Source organism: Homo sapiens, chromosome 18 (assembly GCF_000001405.40).
Source record: "Homo sapiens chromosome 18, GRCh38.p14 Primary Assembly".
NCBI classification, from domain to species: Eukaryota; Metazoa; Chordata; class Mammalia; order Primates; family Hominidae; genus Homo; species Homo sapiens.
Genome location: NC_000018.10, coordinates 32055591 through 32080184, shown reverse-complemented (window position 1 = coordinate 32080184; position 24594 = coordinate 32055591). Strand labels below are relative to the sequence as shown.

Sequence of the window (24594 nt, the reverse complement as noted above, 5' to 3'; positions counted from 1 at the left end):
TGGTGGCGCGTGCCTGTAATCCCAGCTACCAGGGAGTCAGAGGCAGGAGAATCGCTTGATCCCAGGAGGCGGAGGTTGTAGTGAGCCGAGATTGCACCACTGCACTCCAGCCTGGGCGACAGAGCGGGACTCCATCTCAAAACAAAACAAAACAAAAACAAAAACATAGTGGATATAAGAGCTAAACATTTTCTTCATTTTACGTGATTACCTAGGTTAGTCCATTTTATTTGGTTACCTAGGTTGACTCTGTAGCAGATTACTACACTGTAACATCTAGAGCCAATGAAACTCAGCAACTATAATATATACAGTTGTCCTTCAGAATTAGCACTATAGCTTTAAAATGAACACAAAATAATACCGCTTCTCCTATAAGAGCTATATCACTGGACTAAATCTTTACTTTAGAACTCTGTCCAGGAGAGAAGTTGTCTGGTAGTTTGGTTCACTTGATGGGCATATCTCTAAAGAGAAGGAATGCATCTGGCTTGAAGACATTATTCATTAAGAACATCTTGTGTAAGCATATCAAACTACAATTTATTCACTAACTTATTTATCAGATGTTTATGGAGTGCCTACAGAGATGCATGACACTGTTGCTAAGTTCCAGAAACAATAATGCACAAATTTAGACACAGGGCTGCTTTCTTCATTATAATTTTGCTCCCCATGTAGGCTTTATTGCTAAGAAAATACACTGAAAAGCTAACATGAATAGTCTCATCCATTTTTTAGCCATTCATTCATCCAGTCAATGAACATGTTGTTAAGGACTGAATGTTTGTGTCTTCCAAAATTCATATGTTGAAGCTCTAACCCACCATTTGATAGTATTTGAAGATGGGGCATTTGGATGGTAATTAGGATTAGATGAGGTCAGGAGAGTGGAACCCTCAGAGGAGATTAATCCCCTTATAAGAGACTCCAGAGATCTTCTCTCTCTCTTTCTCTCCCTCCCCACCATGTAAGGACGCAGTGAGAAGTCGGCTGTCCAAAAATCTGTTACTGAAGTCACCCAGTCTATGGTATTTTTTTATTGTAGCCTGAGCAGATTGACACATGAATTGAATTTCTAGTAAAGCCCTGTGATTACAAAGATAAATCCCAACCTTTGCCCTCAAGGAACTCCCCATCTCATGGATCTCAGATATATAAACAAAGAAATATAATGTGATAACTGTAGCAATAGATGTATGGTCAAGGGATACTGGTGATATAAAAGATGGTGTGACTGACTCTACTTGGGTGGGTCAAGGAAGTCTTTTCAGAAAAATAATGAAATTTATTTCAGGCTGAGGAAAAAGTGTGCAAAATCACAGAGGCATAAAACAACATGATGTGTTGGGGATGGAAGGACTAGGGCAACAATAAAATATTTCCTAAAACCTTAGAAACAGTGAAAAGGATTGCTCTATGAGAATTAAATTAAAACTAACTAAAGCAAAGTTTAAATATAGTAATTTAAAGATACACATTTCTTCCCAAGCTGACTTGACAGTAAACTGAATGATGTATTTTTTTTCTTTTCTTTTTTTTTTAGAGATTTGGTCTCACTCTGTTGCCCAGGCTGGAGTGCAATGGCATGATCATAGCTCATTGCAGCGTTGAACTCCTGGGCTTATACAGTCCTCATGCCTCGGCCTCCCAAGTAGCTGGGACTACTATGGGCACATGCCACCGTGCCCAGCTATGAATGATGTATTCACCGATCTTTATTATTATTATTTTTAAGCTATATCCTACAGGAAGGATATTCACCTATCTAATGACAGTGACAATCAAAAAGTGCCACTATTTAACCGTTATTAGACTTTATTACGTCCCACTCCTTTTTTTGTCATTATGAATGGTGTTGCAATAAATTTTATCCTGCATATAGATTCCATTTTGGATTAGAGTGCCAGGAAATATTTCCAGATGTAGAATTACTGGGCCAAGAGGTAAGATATTACTATCAACTTGCTTTGAAATGTGTAAGTTATACCGCTATCACCAGCACAATATGCCAGTTTCACCATATCATCCTTTCATGGGGGATTATTAATTGAGAAATTTTGCTAATAGACTGAATCAAAAAATATTTATTGGAGGCTGGGCCTGGTAGCTCACGCCTGTAATCTCAGCACTTTGGGAGGCTGAGGTGGGAGGGTCACTTGAGCCCAGGAGTTTGCAGCCAGCTTAGGCAACATAGTGAGACCCTGTCTCTACAAAAAATTTTAAAAATTAGCTAGATGTGGTGGTGTGTGCCTATAGTCCCAGCTACTCAGGAGGCTGAGGTAGGAGGATCACTTGGACCTGGGAGGTCAAGGCTGCAGTGAGCCATGTCACACCACTGCACTCCAGCCTGGGTGAGAGGGTGAAACCATGTCTCTAAAAAAAAAAAAAATTATTAGAGGTTACACTATGCCAGACATTATGCTAAGAGAGAAAAATGGTACATGACTAGAGTGGTCAAGTTAATGTCTTTGATTACTGGTAATATTATGATTTTTTTCTTCTTTCAAAAATGGGGTTTTACGGCCCGGCGAGGTGGCTCACACCTGTAATCCCAGCAATTTGGGAGGCCGAGGTGGGCGGATCACTTGAGGTCAGGAGTTCGAGACCAGCCTGGCCAACAAGGTGAAACACTGCCTCTGCTAAAATACAAAAATTAGCTGAGCGTAGTGATACATGCCTGTAATCCCAGCTACTCAGGAGGCTGAGGTAGGAGAATCGCTTGAACCCGGGAGGCAGAGGTTGCATTGAGCTGAGATCACACCACTGCACTCTAGCCTGGGCAACAGAGCAAGACTCCGTCTTAAGTGTTGGGATTACATGTCTCAAAAAAAAAAAAAAAAAAAAAAATGGGGAGAGGGGTTGCTATGTCGCCCAGGCTGGAATGCAGTGGCTATTCACAGGCACTATCATAGTGCACTATAGCCTCAAATTCCTGAACTCCTGGGCCAAGCAATCCTTCTACTTCATGCTGGATGTTTTATATGTGTGTTATCATCACACACTGATGATGTATATGTGTATATATCATCAGTAGGTCTCATGATAGATTAGACAGCTGAAATATTTACTAAGTACTTGACATGTGCCATTGTTTTAGATTTTGGAGAATTTAGTGGTGAATACTTGCAATCCAAAATTTATATTCTAGAGAGAGGAAATAACCAATAAAAATGAAAATAAATGTATAAGATAACTTCTCATTCTAGTACAGTTATGGAGACATTACAGTAAAACAATAGACAGATTTGGTGGAGGAGTGACTTTGGCTGGAATTACAAGGTAATTCCTTTATGAGAAGATGACATTTGAGCTGACAGTTGAATGATTTAGAAGGCAGTCATGTCAAACTCCCAGCGAAGAGCTTTTCAAACAGAAGGAATAGAAAGTGCCAAGATGCAGGACCCACTGTAAGTTTGGTGTGTTTAATAAACCTAACAGTGTGGCCGAAGTATAAGGATCAAGGGAGAGAGTGGAGTGAGATGAAGTTGGAGAGTGGGCAGGGACCAGGTTGTGAAGGGCTTTCATTGAAGGGCATGGAAAGGCCTTTAGAATTTATTCTCATAATAATGGAGGCCGGGCGTGTTGGCTCACACCTGTAATCTCAACACTTTGAGAAGCCAAAGCAAGAGAATGGCTGGAGTCCAAGAGACCAACCTGGGCAACATAGTGAGACCTCCATTTCTACAAAAATTTTACAAATTAGCCCAGCATGGTAGTGCATGTCTATGATCCCAGCTACTAGGGAGGGTGAGGTGGGAGGATGGCTCAAGCCCAAAAGGTCGAGGTTGCAGTGAGCTGTAATCATACCACTGCACTCAGCCTGGAAGACAGAGTGAGACCCTGTTTCAAAAAAAAAACAAAAAAACAACCAAAAAAAACCTCTTTCCACAATCTTTCCATGTCACCACAATGGTGCGCATAAATGTCCTGGCTGATGCTCTCAAGAGCATCAACAATGCCAAAAAGAGAGGCAAACACCAGGTTCTTATTGGGCCATGCTCCAAAGTCATCATCCGGTTTCTAACTGTGATAATGAAGCATGGTTACATTGGCGAGTCTGAAATCATTGATGATCAGAGCTGGGAAGATTGTGAACCTCACAGGCAGGCTAAACAAGTGTAGAGTGATTAGCCCCAGATTTGACGTGCAACTCAAAGATCTAGAAAAATGGCAGAATAATCTGCTCCCATCCTGCCAGTTTGGTTTCATTGTACTGACAACCTCAGCTGGCATCATGGACCATGAAGAAGCAAAGACGAAAACACACAGGAGGGAAAATCCTAGGATTCTTTTCTAGAGATGTAATATATATTTACAAATAAAATGACTCGTGGACATACACACACAAACAACAACAACAAAGAAAACAATGGAGGCCCTGGGAGCATTTTAAGCAGTGAAAAGGTGGCATGGCACAATCAGATTGATGCTTTTAAAGATCTCTCCAACTGCTGTATGAGGAATGGACCTTTTTTTTTTTTTTTTTTTGAGATGGAGTTTAGCTCTTGTTGCCCAGGCTAGAGTGCAATGGCACAATTTCGGCTCACTGCAACCTCCACCTCCCAGGTTCAAGCAATTTTCCTGCCTCAGCCTCCTGAGTAGCTGGGATTACAGGCATGCACCACCAAGCCCAGCTAATTTTGTATTTTTAGTAGAGTTGGGATTTCTCCATGTTGGTCAGGCTGGTCTTGAACTCCCGACCTCAGGTGATCCACCCATCTTGGCCTCCCAAAGTGCTGGGATTACAGGCATGAGCCACTGTGCCTGGCCAATTTTTTGTATTTTTAGTAGAGACGGGGTTTCATCATGTTGGCCAGGCTGGTCTCGAACTCCTGACCTCAGATGATTCACCCACCTCAGCCTCCCAAAATGCAGGGATTACAGGCGTGAGCCACCACAACTGGCTAAGAAATGGACAATTTCTTAAATGTGGGCACAGAGTCCAGTTAGATAGCTCTAGGGATCCAGGCAAGAGACGCTGATGGATGGAGTAGAATTGTAAAAATGGAGGTGGTGAGAAATGGGCAGGTTGGCATACATATCAATGACTTCCTGATGAATCCATGATAATTTCAGAGATTCTGTACATCTGGAGAGGGCCCAGGAAAGTGTAATTATAACAAGTATCCCAAGTGGTTCTGATGGCGGCACACAAGGAGTACACTGAGAAAATACTGTTGTAAGGGACAGAGAACATATTTGGCATTTTTGTTAATAAATAAGAAAGAACAATTCAAAAAAAGAAATCACTATCTTATGTCTGAGAAACTGACAGTTCTTTCATTTTGTAAAATAATCCCAAACTTTAAGTAAAATTAATGAAAATATTACCATGGCAGGGCCAGGCGTGGTGGCTCACGCCTGTAATCCCAGCACTTTGGGAGGCCAAGGCAGGCGGATCATCTGAGGTCAGGAGTTCGAGACCAGCCTGACCAATATGGTGAAACTCCGTCTCTACTAAAAATACAAAAATTAGCTGGGCATGGTGGTGCATGCCTGTAGTCCCAGCTACTCAGGAGACTGAGACAGGAGAATTGCTTGAACCTGGGAGGTGGAGGTTGCAGTGAGCTGAGATCGTGCCACTGCACTCCAGCCTGGGTAACAGAGCAAGACTCCATCTCTAAAAAAAAAGAAAAGAAAAAGAAAATACTACCATGGCAAAAATGAACATGACTTCATGTTTTAGAAAGCTAGTCTCATTTTGACTTTTCACCCCTCCTTTCCACACATATTTTTAATGTCTTTACCCTGTGTACTTCCTGTCTTGTCAACTCTGCCTGGCTTGTACCTTCATGGTTGGTATTACTATTATGCCTCAGTATCCAGTTGTCTTCTACATGAGAAGACTGGATTTCCTCAGTGCCTTGACATTACATATGGCCATGTGACTTGCATTGGCAAATAATGAACAGAAATTACCTGTGTAGCCAACTCAGCAGCCTGTTGCGAGGGGTGATATAGGAACACACAGTGATATACAAATGCCATGAGATGAAAGTACCCTGGAATTCTGAAGCTGGAGAACAGCTTCCCTGGAGAAGAGCCAGGAACCACAGTAGACTTTGGGTGAGCACTGGGATTTGGGACTTGTAATTGTACCATAATCCAGTTCACCTAGATCAATACTACTCCCTGTGATTCTCCTTCGTTGGGCTTCTTACATGGCTATTTTGGTGGCAATGATTAGCCTTAAGATCCATGCATTGTCTTTGCTGAAATCTTTAGGATTAAAATACCACACGATTTTCTAGTAATAATACAAAAACATAACTATTAGCTTCAAGGATCTCAGACATGAGTGTCCCTCTGTAATATTTTGTCTTATTTCAATAAAGATAATCTAAATGATGAAGGTAAATCTTCTCAACTGATCTGGGTTCCCTCAATCATCTAGAACGTCACTCAGCAAACAGGCATCAGAGGTTTCGTCAGTAACACTTGTGTTCTGTCCTGTATGTGTTCTTGCAAAAAATCAAAAAATTAATATGCTCATGACATATGGGTACGCATGACAGCTACAGCCATTCAAAACTTAGTATGGATTTAGCAGGGGGAAGAATCTATCTACATCTTACCTTTTAAATTTCAGTGAAGCCTCTTGCTAGCAGAACAAATAATAAATCCATAGTGCTCAGTATTATGTTGACCAAATCAGAGTTTCTAAGCCTAGGCACTATTGCCATTTTGCGCAGGATAATTCTTTGTTGCAAGGGGCTGTCTTGTGCACTGTAGAATGCTGAACAGCATCCCTGACCTGTATCTAGATCTCAGGCCACTAGCACACCCAAGCCCTGTTAGGACAACCCAAAATGTATCTAGACATTGCCAATGTCTGCTGGGAGACAAAATTACCCCCAGTTGAGAAGTACTGGCCTAAATGAATGTACACCTTTGTGATAGATGTTGCTCAATGATGAAAATTTAAAAAGCATTATTAAATTTGAGTAAAATAGTAATCAAGATTAATGTTTAAGAATAGACACAGTAGATATTTTAATAAAAACAATGGTCCTGCCATTTTTTATTTATCATAGCAATACATACTTACAGAAGAAAAAGAATCACACATTTTAAATTCTGATCATTACACTATTTTTTTGTAGTTGAATAATAAAAGAATGAATCTCTTAGTGACTTTTTAAAATACCTTCAATGTTGGAAAAATGCAAATTATGATATGATAAACATTCAATAACTGGAGTAAGTTCACTTCCAAATGAAAGACACTTGGCACCCAGTAACAGTAATGAAATTAAACATCACTGAAGACAGTAAGGAGGTCTGCCTGGAGGTCTCTAAGGAGGTCTGCCTGGAACCATATCTTTAGTGTAGATTCACAATCAATCCAATCTTTCAACCTACATTTTAATAATTTAGCTTTAGAAGAATAACATGTGAATCAGTTTTTCTCTAATAAGGCCCTGAAAAAGTTGTATCCTGAAGCACTATAAAGAGAGTGAAACTTTTTTGTTGGTAATCAACAGCTTCAAATATTGGTTTTTATCAACGAATTATAAATACCTTTTTATAAAAGGCCAAAGGCACAGTAAAACAATGAGTATTTGTACTTTACCATTTTAGAGCTCAAAATAATTCAGAACACAAAATAATTCAGGCGACCAGCACCTAATCTGTCCTGTAGGTGGCAAAATTATCATAAAAGGAATCCAGGCACAGGAGTCAGAATTGCTGCACTGAGGTTAATAGTGACAGATGACTTAAAGCTTTATCCGACATACAATTTTTAACTTTTTCAAGTTTTATAGATTCAAAGTGCCTTTTGTATCGCTCTGAATTAACAAAAGTTTGTCTGCATGGTCAACACCAATGCTTAAAAATATGTTTTCATTTCTCAGGCTCTGGACTTTCAGTCTGATGATCATTTCTTTTTATGATTATTCCTGAAAAATTCCTCTCCTTTTTCTCGTTTCCCAACAGATTTTGCTTTATTTTTATTTATATTTAATTATTTATGTTTTTGGAGACAGGGTCTTGCTCTGTTGCCCAGGCTGGAGGGCAGTAGCATGATCATAGCTCACTGCAGTGTTGACCTCCTAGGCTCAAGTGATCCTCCAACCTCAGCCTCCTTAGTAGCTGAAACTAAAGGTGTGCATCATGCCCAGCTTTTTGTTTGTTTGTTTGTTTGTTTTTGTTTTTGTTTAAATAGAAAGAGTCTCACTATATTGCCCAGGTTGGTCTTGAACTCCTGGGCTCATGAGACCCTCCACCTCAGCCTCCCAAAGTGCTGGGATTATAGGTGTGAGCCACTGTAACCAGCCAGATTTTGCTTTATTGTATGATCCATCTAAATTGAAGAAAGAGAGGTTGTGGAACTAAAAATCAGTTGTTACTTTTTAGCAGCTGTGAAAAGCAAACTTAAAATCAATATCTAAAAGGGAGGATATGAGGCTCACTAGATTTCATTCAGCTTTACATTTTCCCAATTATTTGTACTGGATAAAAGAACTGTAGCAAGACCTTTAAGGAGTTACAATAACTTATAGAAAATTTTGGGTACCATGGTTATGACTATGCTTATATGTAAGGAACAAAGAAGTTTATAAATGATTACAATTAAAAAGCTAACTCTAGTCAAGTAACGTTTTATCCTCAGGAGTTGATATTACTTATTTTCATGGCTTCTTTGCATCCTTACAAGATGGAGATACTAATCTATGCCCTGGATTCATAATTAAAGAGTCAGATATGAGAAACAGTCAGAGCCATCAAATAAAAACTGGGGGCAATTGCCTGGCGCGGTGGCACACACCTGTAATCCCAGTACTTTAGGAGGCCAACACAGGTGGATCACTTGAGGTCAGGAGTTCAAAACCAGCCTGGCCAACATGGCAAAACCCATCTCTACTAAAAATACAACAATTAGCCGGGTGTGGTGGTGCCCACTTGTAATCCCAGCTACTCGAGAGGCTGAGGCAGGAGAATCACTTGAACCCGGGAGGCGGAGGTTGCAGTGAGCCAAGATCACACCACTGCACTCCAGCCTGGGCAACAGAGCAAGATTCCTCCTCAAAACAAAACAAAACAAAACTGGGGGCAAGTGTTAAATATATAGTTGAAGAACTAAGAATAAATGGGGGATAAAAGGAAGAAAGTACAGTATGCTATACCAGTATGTTCTGAAAATGTTGACATAGTATAACTATTTTAAAAATTGGGATGTCGGGCGCAGTGGCTCACACCTGTAATCCCAGCACTTTGGGAGGCCGAGGCAGGCGGATCACCTGAGGTCGAGAGTTTGAGGCCAGCCTGACCAATGTGGAGAAATCCTGACTCTACTAAAAATACAAAATTAGCAGGGCGTGGTGGCGCATGCCTATAATCCCAGCTACTCGGGAAGCTGAGGCAGGAGAATTGCTTGAATCCAGGAGGCAGAGGTTGCAGTGAGCCGAGATCGTGCCATTGCACTCCAGCCTGGGCAACAAGAGCGCGAGACTCCATCTCAAAAAAAAAAAAAAATTGGGAAAGAATGAGAAAAGCAAATGAAAACTTTTTAATTGTTTCAATTGCCATATTATTTGTGGTTGTATTTCTATTGTTATTCTGAGACAGCTGTAAGTGTAAGATAAATAAAAGAAATGAGTAATTGTGGGATGTTCTAATTCTATCGTGCCCTGTGTTCTTGAAAACCAGGACTTTCAGTACAGAAGGAGAGGTACAGTTGTAACAGAAAGGTTAGATAAAAACCCTGTAGGCCGGGCACAGTGGCTCACGCCTATAATCCCAGCACTTTGGAAGGCTGAGGTGGGCGGATCACAAGGTAAGGAGTTTGAGACCAGCCTGGCTATTATGGTGAAACCCTGTCTCTACTAAAAATACAAAAATTAGCTGGGCATGGTGGCTCATGCCTGTAATCCCAGCATTTTGGGAGGCCAAGGCTGGTGGATCACTTGAGTTCAGGAGTTCAAGACCAGCCTGACCATTATGGTGAAACCCCTCTACTAAAAATACAAAAATTAGCCGGGCATGGTGGCGTGCACCTGTAGTCCCAGCTACTTGGGAGGCTGAAACAGGAGAACTGCTTGAACCCGGGAGATGGAGGTTGCAGTGAGTCGAGATCGTGCCACTGTACTCCAGCCTGGGCAACAGAGTGCAACTCTGAAAAAAAGAGAAAGAAAAGGAAAGAGAGAGAGAGAGAGAGAGAGAAGAAGGAGGAAGGAAAGAAAGACACCGTGATTTACAGTCTTGCCAAAGGACTGAACCTAAGTCTTCTCAAATTCAATGTGCCTGAACCTGCACTGTGTGCTAATATCGAGAGGACAGGGCAATGTGCTGAACCGTGCCATGAGTGTGCAATCAGCAAAATACAAAGTATGGGAAACTCTATAGGTCCTAGGATCAGGTTCTTCACCAGGTAAATTTTAAGGAACTGGAAAGAAGGAGGAACTTCTAGATTAAAAAAGAGATGTAAAATAAAATATACATTTAATAACAACTTTAAATTGATAATATTAAAATATAGATATATGCATTTAGGTGTGGCAGCAGTAATCAAATGCAACAAAGTGATTACCATTTAAATCAGTCTAGCAGTTACTTTTGTGGGGTTGTAATTGTGACAGGACACAAAAAGGACACGTGGGGTGACTGGCTGAGTCCTAAAAGAGTATTTCCTTATAATAAGGCATTCAGCTATAAATTTTGTGTCTGGTTTTCAGTACTTTTATTTCATAATTTTTAAAATGTTACAATCAAAAAAGATATCAAAGCCCTTAGGGTTTTCTACTAAAAAGTCTGGATGTGAATACTTATACTGTAAGTATCATCTGATGGTTTTTAAGAAATTGCTTATATTATAGAAATATTTCTAAATAAGCTATAAATATTTGAAAAATATTGAATTCTTATGTATGCAGTTATAAAAAGTCAAAGAATTAAGTATACTTTTCTAACACAAAATTTGTTTTGTTACAGTATTATGTAAGACAATTTGGTTAAATGGATTTTTTTTTTTTTTTTTTTTGAGATGGAGTCTAGCTCTGTTACCCAGGCTGGAGTGTACTGGTGCGATCTCAGCTCACTGTAACCTCTGCCTCCCGGGTTCAAGTGATTCTTCTGCCTCAGCCTCCCAAGTAGCTGGTATTACAGATGCCCGCCAACACGTCCAGCTAATTTTTGTATTTTTAGTAGAGACGGAGTTTCACAGAGACCAGTGTTGGCCAGGCTGGTCTCGAACTCCTGACCTTGTGATCCGCCTGCTTCAGCCTCCCAAAGTGCTGGGATTACAAGCGTAAGCCACCGCGTCCGGCCTAAATGGACTTTCTTGACTTCCAAAATTTTCCTTTCCAACTCCCATACAAGATTATTAACGTTAACCTATTAGAGATTAGAACAAGAGCATTGGAGCAGATTTCTTATTTCTTTGAATGTCTGCACTTTGTTTCACTCTCCATATTTTTTTACACAGAACAAAGATTAGTTATCGTGCCTAACCATGATGGTAGTTATTGATATGTAGCATTATACACAGAGTATTATCTAATTTGCAAACCGAGATCCTCCACCTACTTGCCTACCACCTGTCTTTTCCATGTAACAATGACTGATGTAGATAATTTTTTTTGTTGTTAGATGTGTAAGAATCTCAAGGATGTAAAACAGATTTAAACCATTAAAATTAAAGCAGTTTTTAAATGCACTATAACAATAAACATGGACAAACACATAACTGTGTTGTACATTTTTGCCCATCAATCATTGACAACTTCCCTCCCATTTGTTCAAGCAGCATCTTAAATGGTGCAATTCAGTGGTCCCTTTTCCCTTCGTTTTAATAAAATTATGTGGTGTTCGAGTGATTCACATATTCAAGAAGTGACCGGTCTAAGACTCTTCGGATAAGAGCTTCCTCAATTATATTAAAATCCTACAATAAAGAAAAATAATTAGAAATATTCAGAGTCAATAGTATTTCAGAAACTAGAGGATGAGGGTCAATGCAACACCCTCATTTTGTAGGGAACTAAAGTTACGAGACTTGTCCAAGGTTCCACAAAGCCTGTCATAGAACCCAGGACTTTTGCTTTGGGGCTAATGAATTTTCTACTTCACTTTGTTGTCTATCGATTAACTAGTTACTGTCATAATAAACAGTCTTGATTTGAAATTTGAAGTTTTTATCTGATATAATGAGAAGTTTTTAGTCACCATTACAAATCCTGGTCAGAGTGCTATGTTCCACATAAACCTGTAAAATGGAGCAAAGTTCAGGCTCCCCCACAGGCTTCACCAATGCCAGCAGTACCACTGAATGGCTACTTCTGAAGAAAATGTTAAAAACAAAACTTTCTCCTTGCCTCCTATGTGTCAAAGTGGAATTCAAAATTCTATGTCAGCACATTCTATAAGTAAAACAAAAACCATTAAGAACCCTATCCTCTGCAATCCCTCTCCTCTTCCGCAATAACAAAAGGTGAAATCTCTATTCAAAGTCCATTCTGCAATATAAAAACAAAACAAAAAAACCCCCACAAAATCCAAAGGAAAGTCATAAAGTACAGCAGAACACAAGGTTTGGTCTTGATACTGGCTTGTTCTTAGATAATTCAGTTAACCTTTGAGCTTCAGATATTTCAGTTAAATGAAGATAAAAATACAGTATTCACTTCACGGAAGTTGCTACAAGGAATAAAATGTGATATATACATATAGTGCTTAGCTTAGTATATAGTAGCTCAGGAAGCAAAAAATCAAAACAAAGAACACTACTTCCAGTTCACTTCCCTACCCAAGAATATGGCTGTGAGTGGCTGGAAAGTATTCCTATCAAAGTGGCTTCATCCTGCCTAGCTCTGGATCATGCTTTGTCTGAAAGATCTTGAGAACAGACTGAGCATGATTAGACAGAACAGCCATAGAATCGACCTGGCTTTTAGAACACCTCATAGAGCTAAGGTAAAGAGAAACCTCTTGAGACGGAGTCTCGCTCTGTCACCCAGGCTGGAGTGCAGTGGCGCGATCACGGTTCACTGCAAGCTCCGCCTCCCGAGTTCACACCATTCTCCTGCCTCAGCCTCCAGAGTAGCTGGGACCACAGGCGCCCGCCACCATGCCCAACTAATTTTCTTGTATTTTTAGTAGAGACAGGGTTTCACCGTGTTAGCCAGGATGGTCACGATCTCCTGACCTCATGATCCGCCCATCTCGGCCTCCCAAAGTGCTGGGATTACAGGTGTGAGCCACCACGCCCGGCCAAGAGAAACCTCTTTGTATTACCAGAGAGAACACATAGACCAGAACCAAGTTCTGTTGAGGCCTGTGTGCCATATGGGCCACAAAAGACATGCTTAGAGATATGGAGCTGAGAATTTAAAGCCTCTGTCATGTTCCTTGTTCAGTTCCTCAAGTGGTCCTAACAATTCTACTCCCATCCCATCTCCAATTTGCCTAACATCTGCACCTGAACTGTGCAAAGCACTTTATATACATTATCTCATTTAATCCTAAGAAGAATTTTGGGAGTAGGTGCTTTTAATCTCTTCCCTTAACCAGTGCACAAACTGAGTTTCCGAGGTTAAATACCTTCTGCAAGGTCGCACATATATGACAGAGCTATTGCTTAAAACTAGTTTAGAACCTGAGCTCCTTGTATCCAACCTGGATAATAATAATTGGCAGATAGAAAGCATGGAGAAAATTCTCAAATGACAATCTTCAATCGTTATTAAATTTTATCTTGAAATTGCATTTCATTTTTTTTTTTTTTGAGACAAAGTCTCACTCTGTTGCCCAGGCTGGAGTGGAGTGGTGTGATCTCAGCTCACTGAAACCTCTGCCTCCTGGGTTCAAGCGATTCTCCTGCCTCAGCCTACCGAGTAGCTGGGACTACAGGCGTGTACCACCATGCCTGGCTAATTTTTTTATTTTTAGTATTTTTAATAGAGATAGGATTTCACCATGTTGGCCAGGCTGGTCTTGAACTCCTGACCTCAAGTGATTCGCCCACCTCGGCCTCCCAAAGTGTTGGGATTACAGGCGTGAGCCACTGCACCAGGCCAAAACATTCTATTTTCATGATTTCTTACTTAATGCTAATACTCAACACTATAGCTATATACACATTTTTTCCTCTATAATTTTATTCACTTGGATCGGAAAGGTAAGCTTAACAAGACAGCATGAAAACATAATGTAAAAATAAGAAAATATACTTACTATGAAATCATCATAAAACAAAGTGTGACTAACTTGCAGATGTCTTATTAAACTGCCACTGAAGCTGCTTGGATTCTCATCGGGTATTAAACGGCAAAGTGGACAGAACTGGAAACAAACAAGACCAGGGGTTCAAGAAAGAATTTAAAATCGTTATTAGTGTTAGAATTAAAAACAACGGCTGGGCGCGGTGGCTTACGCCTGTAATCCCAGTACTTTGGGAGGCAGAGGCGGCCGGATCACCAGGTCAAGAGATGGAGACCATCCTGGCCAACATGGTGAAACGCCGTCTCTACTAAAAATACAAAAATTAGCTGGGCGTGGTGGTACGTGCCTATAGTCCCAGCTACTCGGGAGACTGAGGCAGGAGAATTGCTTGAACCCGGAGGCAGAGGTTGCAGTGAGCCAAGATCACACCACTGCCCTCCAGCCTGGCGACAGAGCAAGACTCCGACACACAAAAAAACAAAACAAGACGGGGTGCAGTGGCTCACACCTATAATCCCAACATTTTGGGAGGTTGAGGCGGGTGGATCACGAGGTCAGGAGTTCAAGACCAGCCAGGCCAAGATGGTGAAACCCTGTCTCTACTAAAAATACAAAAATTAGCTGGGCGCAGTGGCAGATGCCTGTAATGCCAGCCACTCAGGAGGCTGAGGCAGGAGAATCACTTTAATCTGGGAGGCGGAGGTTTCAGTGAGCCGAGATCTTGCCATTGCACACCAGCCTGGGCAACAAGAGCAAAACTCTGTCTCAAAAAACAAGACAAAACAAAACAAACAATAACAACAAAAAACAACAACAGGTAACCATTCAAAAATAAACTGTCAACTTTATTCATCCATTAGCCATACCTCAGTATTATGTTATAAAATTGCATAAACATGAAAGCAACATTAAGCAAATAAAATTACATGTCTTCATATGCATTTCTTGCTCATATGCATACATAACAATATAACTATTTGTTTCATATTCATCAATTTATTATTTAAACAATATTACAATTAATACATGTACCATAATTTACTTAATTAGTTTGCCTACCTCTTGGAATACTTGTTTGTATATGGATATTTTACTATCACAAATGAGAATAACTATAGTGTTTACCTTTTAGGGGATTAGTTCCTTAGGAGAAATGACCAGAAATGGCAATTACCAGGTCAACAATTATGAACGTTGGCCAGGAGCGGTGGCTCACTCCTGTAATCCCAGCACTTTGAGAGGAGGCCAAGGCAGGTAGATTACTTGAGGCCCAGAGTTCAAGACCAGCATGGCCAACATGGTGAAACCCTGTCTCTACTAAAAATACAAAAATGAGTCAGACGTGGTGGTGCACACCTGCCTGCTATCCCACCTACTTGGCAGGCTGAGGCAGGAGAATTGCTTGAAAAAAGATTTCACTAGGTTTTGCCTGTACTCATATTTTTCAGTGTGTGTGTGTGTGATATAGTTTGGAAACTTGTCCCCACCCAAATCTCATGTTGAAATGTAATCCCTGGGTGTGGAGACAAAAAAATTAGCCAGGTATGGTGGCAGCACCTGTAATCCCAGCTACTCAGGCAGCCGAGGCACCAGCTCTGTCTCAAAAAAAAAAAAAAAAAAAAAAAGAAAAAGAAAAAGATTTCACCAGATTTTGCCTGTACTCATATTTTTCAGTGTGTGTGTGTGAGATATAGTTTGGAAATTTGTCCCCGCCCAAATCTCATGTTGAAGTGTAATCCCTGGGCGCCGTGGCTCATGCCTGTCATCCCAGCACTTTGGGAGGTGGATCACTTGAGGTAGGAGTTCATGACCAGCCTGGCTAACATGGCAAAACCCATGTCTACTAAAAAGACAAAAAAATTAGCCAGGCGTGGTGGTGCACACCTGTAGTCCTGGCTACTCCAGAGGCTGAGGCAGCAGAATGGCTTGAACCCAGGAGGCAGAGGTTGCAGTAAGCCGAGATCGCACCACTGCACTCCAGCCTGGATGACAGAGTGAGACCCTGTCTCAAAAAGAAAAAAAAAAGGACTTGATGGATTAAAAAAAAAAAAAAGATACAGACCATTCTGTCACTGCAAAGGAATGTCAGTGCGTTGCTATCCTTTATTTCCTTCTCTCTCCCTAACCTCTGCTCTGTTCCCCATATTATTATTATTACTATTTCGAGAAACTTATATAAATAGAACTATACAGTATTTAACCTTTTGAGATTGGCTTTTCCCATTGAGCATGACTTTGAGATCCATCTAAGTTGCTGGGTGTATCCATAGCTCCCTCCTTATTACTGAGTAGTATTTCATGTATGGATGTCCCACAGTCTGCTTATCCATTTATTTTGTAAAGGGCATTTGGGTTGTTTCCAGTTTTTGGTTGTTAAGATAAAGCTCCAAGAAATATTTGTGTACAAATGTTTGCATAAACATTAAGTTTTCATTTCTCTAGGATAAATTTTCAGGAGTGTGATTGCCTGGTTATATGATAAGTATATGTTTAACTTTGTAAAATATTGCCAAACTGTTTTCCAGAGTGGCTGTACTATTTTACATTCCCACCAGCAATGTATGAATTATTCAGTTTTTCTTTATTTTCCCCAACATTTGGTATTGTCCAAATTTTTTTATTTGAGCCATTTTGTTAAACGTGTACTGGTATCTCACCATGGTTTTAATTTGCACTTCTATGATGGCTAATATAAATAACTCTTTTAACATATATTACTTTATCACATTTTAACAAAGGTTCACTTTTTTAAAATTATATTTATTCATGTATTCTTCTTTTTTTTTTTTTTTTTGAAATGGAGTTTTGAGTTTTGCTCTTGTTGCCCAGGCTGGAGTGCAATGGCATGGTCTTGGCTCACTGCAACCTCCGCCTCCTGGGTTCAAGCAACTTTCCTGCCTCAGCCTCCCAAGTAGCTGGGATTACAGGCGCCCACCACCATGCCCAGCTAATTTTTGTATTTTTAGTAAAGACAGGGTTTCACCATTTTGGCCAGGCTGGTCACGAACTCCTGACCTCAGGTGATCTACCCACCTCTGCCTCCCAAAGTGCTGGGATTACAAGCATGAGCCACCCCACCCGGCCCATGTATTCATTTTTTAAAGTATGAGATGCAGACTTATTACTGAGTGCCAAGTATGTGTTGTTAGGTAGTAAATTAGGTAGTATTCTCATTTGATCCTCACAACAACTCAGTGAATTAATTGCTATCCTTATTTTGTTGATGAGCCCAATTTCAGAGAGAAAAAAAAATAGCTTGAATTTACTCAGCTGTAAGTATCAGATCTGGAATCAATGTCGCTGATCCTCCAATGTTCTTTTCACATTCTAACAGTGTCCAATTTATCAACTTGGGTGATAATGTTTTTCTTTATTTAAATGAGGTCTTTATATATTTCTTTTCTTTCTTATTGTTTTATGAGGATCTCAGTTTCAATATGCTCAATTTCTATAATTAAAGGTCTATTTCTGAATTTTGCTCAACTTCGCTAATTTTTACATCTTATTTTTAGTAAAATTACATCCTTTTAATTAATTATTGTTGAATTATAATCATTTACAATTTCCTAATGTTCTTGGTTAATTGGCACTACTGGTCATTCCAAGACAGCATTTAATTTTCCCTGATGCCACTATGTATAATGAGAACAGAGCTGAGACCAAGAAATATTTCAACAAAAGAGCACTATTAATATTTGTAGTGTGGGAGAAGGAACCTGCTTATAGAAATTTGTTCATCCAACACTCTTTATTATGCCCCTACTACGTGTTCCGCACTTAGAATATAGAGATCAGTAGGATACTTTGAAGTTAGATACTTTGGGTTCAAATCCTAGCACCAGCAGTGTGATCTTGAGCATATAAGTTTCCCCTTCTGTGAAATGGAGATAATAACACCTGCCTTGTAGAGTAGCTGTAATATTTACAGATAATGTCTTCAGTGTGCCAGGTAAACATCAAACATTCAATAAATGCCACATATTTACTACTATTTGATCCCTGTCCTTGAAGAGTTGGGGCTCCCTGAGGGAAGAAACTACCATGTGTCTAGTTGATCCCTACATTCTTAGTACCCAGAAAATAGTTTCCGATTTCATTTCAGCCTCTCGCTGATGTTCTGTGTCTCAGAGCTGTTAGATTTAAAATAATACACCATTTACTATTATAAAGCTCAGTCATTATATTAGCTCAGTCTTTAGCTGCCATTATTATCACTTAAGCAGATACTTTCAATAGTGTATCAAGTGCCATACTCAAGATGTGAACAGACAACTGTTCAAGATCTGTAAAGGGAATTACTAATTTTGCCCAAGGGTTCGGAAAGGCTCCAGCAGAGCTGCTGGTAACTGAAGTGGGTCTTGAAGAATGAGCCAGCCAGGCCAGCAGGGAGGAGCATCACAGCAGAGGAATCAACGTGGGAAAAGGCAGTAAATCCTAAAAGAAAGAGGCCTGCTTAGGGCAATGGAAAAACCTCAGTGTAACTGAAGGTAGGGAAAGTTGGGGAAGTGGTAGGGGATGAGTTTGGAATGATAAGTTGGAACTAGCTCTGCTCCATATTTATTCAAGCACCTGACATGGTTTTGGTAGACTTGATGCAAGGAGTCAGAGGTACAGAGATGTCTGTTACCTTGGTCCCTACCAATAAGGAGCTGATTAGAGTCTAGTGGAGAAGACAAATACAGAAAACCTGGAATTTTAGGCCAGGCACGGGGGCTCACGCCTGTAATCCCAGCACTTTGGGAGGGCAAGGTGGGCGGATCATGAGGTCAGGAGATCGACACCATCCTGGCTAACACGGTGAAACCCTGTCTCTACTAAAAATACAAAAAATTAGCCGGGTGTGGTGGCGGGTGCCTGTAGTCCCAGCTACTTGGGAGGCTGAGGCAGGAGAATGGCGTGAACCCAGGAGGCGGAGCTTGCAGTGAGCCGAGATCGCACCACTGCACTCCAGCCTGGGCGCCAGAGCAAGACTGTCTGAAAAAAAAACTAGAATTTTAAGCAAACAAGATTTTGTTTTGTTTTGTTTTTGAAACGGGATCTCACTTTGTTGACCAGGCTGGCCTTGAACTCTCAGATTCCAGAGATTCTCCTGCCTCAGCCTCCTGAGTAGCTAGGATTACAGGTGCAAGCCATTGTTAGTCTGACGTTAATAGGCAACTAGTGGAGTCTTCAGTCTCTGGTCAACATAAAATTTAATTGTGTGACTAAAGACACATCTGTCAAAACGACATTGCAAAACAATGGGCTGAAGTCGGTACTAGTGGAAAAACTTCTTTTGTTTCTTAAATTGGGAGATTAAACCTGAGGGAAGAGAGGGTAAGAATAGGAAGGAGAAAGAAATGGTAGGTGAGAGACAGACTGAAGATTACCTAAGTATTGACTTATACTCAATGTTGTCCATTTCCTAACATCAGCTCATCCTTTCTTACTTGTCTCTACTCAATGCTCCCAGGCTATACTACTTATATTAAGAGCCAACAACTATACAGTGTACATTCAAAATATGCTGGCTTCATCTCTGTATGGGCTTTTTCTGATGGTGAATGCAATGGGCAAATAATAGCTACCATATTAGAAGCTACTACCAACTTCAAAGAATTGAAAACTGTTTCTAAGATTAGCCTCCCACTTACTAGACATGGTGATATTATCATGTCCTTATGCTCCCACCAACCCACCCGCAACAATGACAGGTCTTTAGTGGATAAGCTTACAGCCCATTCACTGTGCAGGCCAGTGTGTCAGGGACCGGACATCTGCCTGTCCTGATTTGTGACCTGGCAGCTTAGAAGAGCTTCACCTCATCCTACTGATGCCTTCAGTTGATCCCCTTAGCCCTGTGGTTTCTATTTCCTGGCCTTGAGCATGTTGACTCCAAATAGGCCCTTTCTATGCAATGAATCTTCATTTATTGTTCTTTCTTTTCAAGAAACCATAAAGCCAAAAATAACCAAAATCATTGAGTAGATTTTCTCTACCTTTGTTTTACAAATGACCAAATTGAGGACCAAAGAAATCCTCTTGCTAGGAAAAGGGGAAAGATCTCCTGACCAAGGCTGCTTTAATAGGATTGAAACAAAACAACACTTGATGTGGGTGGAAACAGATGTTTCTTTCCATTTTTGATCAGATGAGGAAGATTCTTTTGAAAGGATAATTATTCCTCTAAATCCTTAGGATATAGATTATTCAATGCTGGTCAAGATAGTATCAAATTAAAAAAAAATAGTCAAAATCAAATCAAAATGGATTAAAAACTTGAATCTAAGACCTCAAACTATGAAACTACTAAAAGAAAACATTGGAGAAACTCTCCAGGACATTGATCTGGGCAAAGATTTCTGGAATAATACCCCACAAACACAGGCAACCAAAGCGAAAATGGACAAATGGAATCACATCCAAAAGCTTCAGCACAGCAAAGGAAACAATCAATAAAGTGAAGAGACAACCCACAGAATGGGAGAAAATATTTGCAAACTCCTCATCTGACAAGGGATTAATAACCAGAATATATAAGGAGTGCAAACAACTCTACAGGAAAAGAAATTAGTAATTCAATTTAAAACAGGCAAACGATTTAAACAGACATTTCTCAAAAGAAGACATATAAATGGCAAATAGGCATATGAAAAAGTGCTCAGCATCATTGATCATCAGAGAAATGCAAATCAAAACTACAATGAGATATCATCTCACCGCAGGTAAAATGGTTTTTATCCAAAAGTCACACAATAACAGATGCTGACGAGGATGTGGAGAAAAGGGAAACTTCATACACGGGTGGTGGGAATGTAAATTAGTACAACTACTACGGAGAAGAATTTAGAGGTTCCTCAAAAAACTGAAAATCAAACTATCATATGATCCAGCAATCCTACTCCCAGGTATATTCCCCAAAGAAAGGAAATCAGTATATTCAAGAAATATCCGCACTCCCATTTTTATTGCAGTACTATTCAGAATAGTCAAGATTTGGAAACAACCTAAGTGTCCAGCAACAGACAAGTGGGTAAAGAAAGCATGGTACATATGGAGTACCATTCAGTCATAAAAACGAATGAGATTTTGTCATTTGCAACAACATGGATGGAACTGGAGGACATTATGTTAAGTGAAATAAGCCTAGCACAGAAAGACAAACTTCACATGTCCTCATTTATTTGTGGGAGCTAAAAATTAAACCAATTGAACTCATGGAGATAGAGGGTAGAATGATGGTTACCAGAGGCTGGGAAGGGTAGTGGGGATTGGGGGAAGTGGGCATGGTTAATGGGTACACAAATATAGTTAGATAGAATGTATAAGATTTAGCATTTCATAGCACAACAGGGCAATTAAAGTCAACAATAATGTATTGTACATTTAAGAGTATAGGCCAGGCACAGGGGCTCACGCCTGAAATCCCAGCACTTTGGGAGGCCAAGGTGGGTGGATCACCTGAGGTCAGGAGTTTGAGACCAGCCTAACCAACGTGGTGAAACCCTGTCTCTACTAAAAATACAAAAATTAGCTGGGTGTGGTCACATGAGCCTGTAGTCCTAGCTACTTGGGAGGCTGAGGCAGGAGAATCCCTTGAACCTGAGAGGCGGAGGTCACAGTGAGCCAAGATCGCACCACTGCACTCTAGCCTGGGCGACAGAACGAGACTCCCTCTCAAAAAAAAAAGAGTATAATTGGATTGTTTGTAACACAAAGAAAGGATAAATGCTTAAGGTGATGGGTATGCCATTTACCCTGATGTGATTATTACACACTGCATGCCTGTATCAAAGTATTTCATGTGCCCCATAAATATATACACCTACTATGCATCCACAAAAATTGAAAGTACATATATGGTCATACTTCTCACTTGCCCTTTAATTTTTTTTTTTTTTTTTTTTTTTAGAGATGGGGTCTCACTCTGTCACCCAGGCTGGAGTGCAATGGTATGATCATGGCTCACTGTAACCACAAACTCCTGGCTTTAAGTAACCCTCCCACTTTGGCCTCATAAAATGCTGGGACTACTGGCATAAGCCACGGTGCCTGGCCACTTTAGCGCTTTAAAGGAAGCAATGGTTCTCAGCGTGGGGTCCTCAGACCAGCAGCATTGTCACCATCTGGTAACTTGTTAGAAATGCAAATTTTCAGGCCCTAGCTCAGACCTATTTTATCAGACACTCTAGGGGCAGAGGCCAGCAATCTATGTTTAAACAGGTCTTGTAGATGATTCTCATGCATGATAAAGTTTGAGAACAACCGCCTTAAAGACAATATAATTTCTTTCAGAGAAACAAGATAAAATAGTAGGCGAACAAATGAGAAATTCTAAATCTAATACCTAGGCTGTAATGGAGAACACCTTTCTTAACTCCAGTACCTATAAAAAAAACAGTCATTTGGACCAGGCGCGGTAGCTCATGCCTGTAATCCCAGCATTTTGGGAGGCTGAGGTGGGCAGATCACCTGAGGTAAGGAGTTTGAGACCAGCCTGACCAACATGGAGAAACTCCGTCTCTACTAAAAATATAAAAATTAGCCAGGTGTGGAGGCATGCCCCTATAATCCCAGCTACTCGGGAGACTGAGGCAGGAGAATCGCTTAAACCCGGGAGGCAGAGGTTGCAGTGAGCCAAGATCGCGCCACTACACTCCAGCCTAGGCAACAACAGCAAAACTCCGTCTCAGAAAAAAAAAAAAAAAAGTCATTTGGGGTTCTATTTTACTGAGAATCATAATTAGGCCAGAAATATGACTCAATCATAAAAAAGCTAGTACAGTGCTGTATGGATAACATTCAATTATCTAGAATAATGGTTGTTTCCTCTGTTCTGCATTCACTGACCATTCTTGGAGTGCTGTGTTCTATTTTAAGTGCTGGGTAAGGAAAACATCAATAAACTGCAATAGACACAGAAGGGAAATTAAGATGTTGAAAGGTGTAGAAACAAAATCCTTGTAATAACTGGGTTACCATTCTGGAAAACTTCAAGCACTCACACAGTAAGTTACTTATCACCTTGAGAGGGAGGCTACATTAGATCACCTCTGAGGACCCTTTTCTCTACGACTGTGTAAAAATCTTTATTAGCTCAATACTATAAACAGCCCAAGTATAATGTAGAAATAGAAATGCTGCTGTATGTCTATTATGTATAAGCTTGAGGAAGAGAGGTAAGGAAGAAGGTTTGTAATTTTTTGCTGTGTAAAAAAATCATTGTTGGCATAAAGCCAAGTGCATTGAGTTTCTTTTGCACCTGTTCTCATTCTCCTACTGTAATCCATGAGAATTAGAAAAACTTCCCACTCCTTTTGCTCTTTTTTTTAAATTTTTTTTGAGATGGAGTTTTGCTCTTTTTTATTGTTTAATGTTATTATCTTTTTTTCTATAATTGTCTTTTTTTTTTTTTTTTTTTGAGACGGAGTTTTGCTCTTTTTGCCCAGGCTAGAGTGCAACGGCGTGATCTTGGCTCACTGCAACGCAATCTCTGCCTCCTGGGTTCAAGTGATTCTCCTGCCTCAGCCTCCCGAGTAGCTGGGATTACAGGCATGGGCCACCATGCCCAGCTAATTTTGTATTTTTAGTAGACATGGGGGGTGGTTTCTCTATATTGGTCAGGCTGGTCTCGAACTCCTGACCTCAGGTGATCTGCCCACCTCAGCCTCCCAAAGTGCTGGGATTACAGTCGGGAGCCACCACGCCAGGCCAGTCCTTTTCCTCTTTATTCATGTGAGTCATTTTCTCAGAGCTTTGTAGGGCAATTTTATAACAGTCTAGATTTACGAGGAGTCAGTACCTGAAGTCTGTTCACTTTACAGAAAGTCTACGAAATCTCTCCTTCTTCCTATGTGAGCCACTTACTTTCATTTTCAGGAATACTGAAGAGAGTAAGAATCCTTGCAAATTCCAGGAAAAAAAAAGTCCTATATGACGTTAAAAACAAAGTGTCTTTTATAAAGGCAGCCAGAAATAATAATGGATTTCTTAAGTTTCTTAAAATTAGGGTTTAAATTTTTTTTAATTTTTAAATGTTCTTTTTTTTTTTTTTTTTTTTTTTGAGATGGAGTTTCACTCTTGTTACCCAGGCTGGAGTGCAATGGCATGATCTCGGCTCACTGCAACCTCCGCCTCCCAGGTTCAAGCGATTCTCCTGCCTCAGCCTCCCGAGAAGCTGGGATTACAGGCATGCGCCACCACACCCGGCTAATTTTGTATTTTTAGTAGAGACGGATTTCTCCATGTTGGTCAGGCTGGTCTCAAACTACCCACCTCAGGTGATCCGCCCACCTTGGCCTCCCAAAGTGCTGGGATTACAGGCATGAGCCACCACACCTGGCCTAAGTGTTCTCTTAATAATCCCCACAATCTCCAAGTGTCAAGGGAGAGACCAGGTGTAGGTAATTGAATCATGGGGGCAGTTTCCCCCATGCTGTTCTCATAAAAATG

General features: G+C 40.4%; 1 protein-coding gene and 1 pseudogene across 4 annotated transcripts in view, besides 1 other annotated feature; one reads left to right on the top strand and one right to left on the bottom strand.

Moving 5' to 3' along the window:
• Positions 1–24594, bottom strand: part of RNF125 (ring finger protein 125) — a 71982-nt gene that overhangs the window by 10622 nt on the left and 36766 nt on the right. The window contains exons 5-6 of one of the 4 annotated variants that reach the window (NM_017831.4): positions 14176–14283; positions 6966–11887 (exon numbers count right to left, since the gene is read on the bottom strand). The exons of 1 other annotated variant lie outside the window; for it this stretch is intronic. In NM_017831.4, the coding sequence (NP_060301.2) occupies positions 11801–11887; positions 14176–14283 (195 nt within the window). In that variant the 3' untranslated portion in view covers positions 6966–11800. Of the gene's footprint in view, positions 1–6965; positions 11888–14175; positions 14284–24594 lie in introns of those variants that run through there. 2 more of the 4 variants (NM_001436860.1, XM_011526046.4) reach the window with 2 other exon arrangements.
• RPS15AP35 (ribosomal protein S15a pseudogene 35) lies at positions 3883–4339 on the top strand (annotated as a pseudogene).
• Positions 21981–22516: an enhancer, noted in NCBI's record as "OCT4-NANOG hESC enhancer chr18:29637632-29638167 (GRCh37/hg19 assembly coordinates)". NCBI's record gives its function as "activates a minimal SCP1, AML or CMV promoter by ChIP-STARR-seq in naive and primed H9 embryonic stem cells {active_cell/tissue: H9 hESC(naive and primed)}" and the evidence as "EXISTENCE:reporter gene assay evidence [ECO:0000049][PMID:30033119]".